We start from the raw sequence: 5,024 nt of genomic DNA, 5'->3' as shown, positions 1-5,024 counted from the left end.
GGAGGTTAGGGATGATACCTTTAGTCTCTAACTTCTTGAGAGGTTGAAACTGATGTGACATGTCCCAAAGACTTCACCATATATCACATTGATCCACTATCCAGTGGCAAACAAAGACATTCCTATCAGGTAGGACATTACAGCGGCCTAGAGATCACTTCACAGTAGCTGAAGGCAAAGGCCAGACCTCACTGAAACCTTGTCTCTACTAAAGGTAAAGTTAGTTCTTCATTATACAGGAAATGACTGCTTATAGGTATGGGGCTTTCGCCTTAGGATGATGAAAATGTCCTAAAGTTGATTTTAGTGATGATTCTACAGCTTTGTGGATATACTAAAAGACATGGAATTGTATACACAATCGATGAATTGTATGCTACATAAACTATATCTCAAAGAACCTGTTAAAAAATAAAGAGATTTGGTTGGAGTGTTCTTAGCTAATTTGCTGAAAATGCTACGTTTTTCTAAGGTTTTATTACTTCATTTTAAATTTTTAATATTTAAGCTTTTGTGGTCATCGACAACAATGTGTAATTTTTTTTCATCTTTCAAGTTCAAAATACAGCTCCATTTTTACACACAGAAAAAAGGATTGCCAACACGTTTTCCTGATATCCTCCTTTATCTAAGGACTGAGCAAGAGTTTCTCATGAGGACTTAAAAAAGAAACAAAAAACAAAAAACTATACTTATTCTCTACGTTAAGAAACTCATACAAACTCATGCAAAGGTGACATTCAAAGGCTGCAGAGAACAGGCCTTTGAGAGATGGGAAACAGAGTGCTTAGCAAAGAAGTTTGTCAATAAGTTTCAAATTGAGGATGAGAAGCCCCAAATTGAAAACAAGAAGTTGAACTTCAAATTCAATCATGCAGCAGTGGCTATTGCTGAAAGAATAAAAACTGCTTGTTAAGAAGAAATGGAACAAAAGAAGGGAGAAAAAGGAGCTTCATGCAGTGTAAAATAGCTTTAACCATGCAGGCTGTCTGAAGTTCTAGGGAATTAGAAGCAAATACAAAATCTTAGAAATAGTCTATTGACAGCTGGTATAAATCTAACAACAAACTAGAAATAAACAATGGATAAGATTGTCAAGGATGAGAAAGACAAGAATAGTGTTTAAATGGTACCCAGTCTATGCTCTGTACCCAACAGAGTGAAAAGACTAGTTAACTAGGCTTTCCATTTAAGGGATGCATTTTGGCATCACACTGGCTATGGTTTTAATCATTGAAAAGTCACATTCGGTGTAACTTAGGGAAATTCATTGGCTATTTTTTAAGCCTTAGTTTTAATCTCTGTAAATCTGAAATAATAAAAGCAGAGATCTCAAATGTTTTGTTAGGATAAAATAAAGTGAGCTAATACATGAAATACATGTATCATCTTATGGATGCAATGTCTGGACGTAGTTGATGCCCATGATCACTATCATCAGTAGCAAAACCAGTTCATGTAACAAGCTCATCATTTTAGATTTATTTCACCAAAGGGCATGAGTGGTAGACATGACAACCTGGAAAAGGGATTATACCACTATATAAAAACAAACAAGATAATCAATTCTATTTATAAAACTTTCTAGGTTTTAATATTTTTTTGCATATAAGCCTTCAAAATTAAAACAAAATCAGATGTGGGTAATGAATATTGTGTTTCCATTTCAAATGACACTTACAGGTTGCTAACATAAAACAGAGAAAATAGAAGAATTCATTTCACAGTTCTTTGGTCTATTCTGTAATTTTTTTTTTAGTAATAAATCACAAAATTTGGATTCAGCACACTCTAGACTAAGTCACTGTGTCATTTAATAAATAGAGAAAGCCAATCAGACCAGACATATTTAGAGATATTTTTATAAATTTGACTGCTGGATAATTCATTACAACAAAGACTAGTGAATTAGGTTTTAATTATTTTCTGAAAAAAATTTTAATCAAGATAAAAGCTTCATAAAATGTACTAATTTGACAGCTGATGACATAGCCAATTAACTATTCAGAACAACAGCTAGTGTTTTAGGTGAAATAATTTTATTATCAAACAAAAGATGATGTTGAAGTCTATTCTTTGTATTAATCATACTGTGTATTTCAACAGTACACTAGAAAAAATATATAAGCTAAAAATGAGTCAATGTTTTGATTTCATGGCATTAAATTTTAAAATGCCTTAGAATTGTTAAAAATGAGAGGTTGAAGAGGGTAAGGTATTTAAATATTATTAATATATCAATTAAATTTAATAGCTAATGAAGCAAAATAATTTCATCCTAGATTATGTAAAAATATCAGTAATATTGTTGTAGAATTATTTTGCAGTCAAGGCATAATGACTGAATGTCTCCATGTCAGAGTTCAAGAACAGCTCACTGTGAAATATTTAGATTCATGCTGCTGCTGAATTTCATTGCATATTTCTGATTTATTCCTAAAACTGAGACCAACTACTAGCTATAAATCAGGATTGGAGAGATATTATAGTATAATTTTTATTTTTTACAAAATTGATATAGTTTCTGTTAAAAACGATTACTGGGTAATACCCTCTTGAAAAAGGAATTAAGGAAGGAAGAAAGGAAAGAAAGATGAAGGGAAGGAGGGAGGCGGGGAAGAAGGAAAGGAGGGAGGAAGAGAATAAGAGGGGGGAAATAAGGAAGGAAAAAGGAAGGAGGGAAGAAAGGAAGCTAGTTAGTAAGTAACTAAGTAATTAAGTAATTAGCTAACTCATTTTTATCAGGATGTTTTAACAGAATGAAATGAAACTGTGTTTCTGGGGCCCAGATGAATGAATGCTTGCTGAAGTTTCTCTTATATGTGCCTATGGTTTGCTTTTACACATTCACACCCAAACTCCTGAGAAACGTATATTACTATTAATTTCATTTTTCAGAAGAGAAAACAGAATTATGTGTATAGTTGGATTTGTGTAAGGTTATATATTTGGAAGATGTAAAGATGGGATTTAGATCCCTCCAAATATGCAGAGGGAATTACCCAGTAATCACTTTTTCTGGCTTTTGCAGAAGGGCATCTAACAGCAAAACAAGGCCAAAGCAGCCATTGCATTTCTTTGAGATCCTAGGAACCAGGATAACAAGAACAATCTTGGGGATGATCAGGGTGGCAGATTGGGTGTGAAGTGCCATACACATGCTCTCAGGTTTACAGACACGTTGCTGTCGAGCCTCTGTGCATCCTCTCAAGGAGAGGAAAAGAGCACCAATCCCTGGCTCCTTCCTGTAGCTTTGGGTTCCAGTTCCAAGATTCAAGCACATGCTGACTCTGGGAATTAAGGATAGACAAGTGGTGATGATTCTTTCCTCTCCCTAACTCTGTAGAGGCCAAAAACTCTCCTACCCCCGAGACTCACTGAACCCACAAAACCTCAAATTTACTTGTCCTTCGTATTACACATATCCTGCTCATTCCTTAATAACTTGTCTTCGGGCCGGGTGCAGTGGCTCACACCTGTAATCCCAGCACTTTGGGAGGCCGAAGAGGGCAGATCACATGAAGTCGGGAGTTCGAGACCAGACTGACCAACATGGACAAACCATGTCTCTACTAAAAGTACAAAATTAGCCGGTGGCACATGCCTGTAATCCCAGGAGAATCACTTGAACCCAAGAGGCAGAGGTTGCGGTAAGCCAAGATCGCACCATTGCACTCCAGCCTGGGCAACAAGAGCAAAACTCCTTCTCAAAAACAAACAAACAAACAAAAACTTGTCTTTACTTATACTAACTCACTTTATCTGCTAGAGGAAAGGTATCAATAATGTTGTTACCTAGGAAAGTATATCACAAGAAACATCACGTGTATTTGGGGCAACTTTTATTAATACAATTAAAGAGAGAGGCCAAAAACATGCTGATTTGTTAGTAGAGTCTGAATTAATCTCTCTCTCCCCACCTCTCTCCCTTTCTTCTCTCCCACTTCACACACACACCAAGAAGGCTCATACATAGAATCAATTGCACTATTCTCTGCCTGCTAAGAAATCCCTATTACACCTCCATTAGGCTCTTACAGCCAAGTAAGTTAAAGTGACATAAATAAAATAATAGAAGTTAGGTTTTTGTTCGTTTGATCGGTTGGTTTGTTTTGCTTCTTAAGACTCCTTCAAAGCAAACATAGCTAAAAACAAATATGGAATGCTCTTTACCTCTTCTGTGCGTTTTTAGTAAGGCAGGGTCAGCAAGTTTTAATGATTATATCAACAAAAAAGTTAGCTGTCAGAGTCATTGTCGACATCCACATTCAATCCACTCCTTGCTGAACAAAGATTAAGAGAATGGCAGATGGTGCCAAGTTGTGTAAAATATTTTCTCTGACTGCAGTCTCAACCTCTTTCATTTTCTTCCTCTTTGGCAGCCTTTTTTAGCAGCTGTGTTGGCAATGATGACAGAACCTATCAAACACAAGGAGCTGATGAGCCTTCAGAACTACCTTATTAGGGTACTTAACTTTTGCTTTGTACTCTCCTACCTGTCTCTGAAGTTTGTGAATGAACCTCACTCATCTTCCAATCAAAACCCCTGGGAAGGTTCCAGGCTGGAAGATGATGTTTTTGTCATGTAAATTGTTCACAGACCTTGGGGCTGTTTTCTTACTTATTTGGGAAAGAAAATAGGAACTCAAGCAAATGCTTGAGGACATAAGATAAAATGTCATTCCAAATGAGGGTTTTATTTATCGGAAACAAAAACACTCAAATAAAATATTTATGGGTTTTGTATTACAACTGGTAAGCAAGAATATAGCTCCAGTCTGTGCTTTTACCTTTCTTCTGCATTTTTTCTGTCTTACCCTATCTTGTAGCAGAGTGTCTAGGCATTCCTCCAACTCAATTCTTTGGAGGAGGTCACTTTTACAATACTGTACACCGTGTGTATGTCACATGTGCATGTACATGTGTGTAATTTTTCCCAAACAGTGAATGCAATTTTTGAGAAATGTCTGTTATAAAATTTTCAAATCAAGTATAAGTGTCTGACACCAAGGCATATACTGTTC

At 35.9% G+C, this 5,024-nt stretch overlaps 1 annotated feature.

Annotated features, from left to right (window-relative positions):
- Positions 4,147 to 4,796: an enhancer, noted in NCBI's record as "OCT4-NANOG hESC enhancer chr16:61297235-61297884 (GRCh37/hg19 assembly coordinates)". NCBI's record gives its function as "activates a minimal SCP1, AML or CMV promoter by ChIP-STARR-seq in naive H9 embryonic stem cells {active_cell/tissue: H9 hESC(naive)}" and the evidence as "EXISTENCE:reporter gene assay evidence [ECO:0000049][PMID:30033119]".

This window comes from Homo sapiens, chromosome 16 (assembly GCF_000001405.40).
Source record: "Homo sapiens chromosome 16, GRCh38.p14 Primary Assembly".
In the NCBI taxonomy this organism is placed as follows: Eukaryota; Metazoa; Chordata; class Mammalia; order Primates; family Hominidae; genus Homo; species Homo sapiens.
The sequence above is the reverse complement of the archived record's forward strand: the minus strand, read 5'-3'. Positions and strand labels throughout refer to the sequence as shown.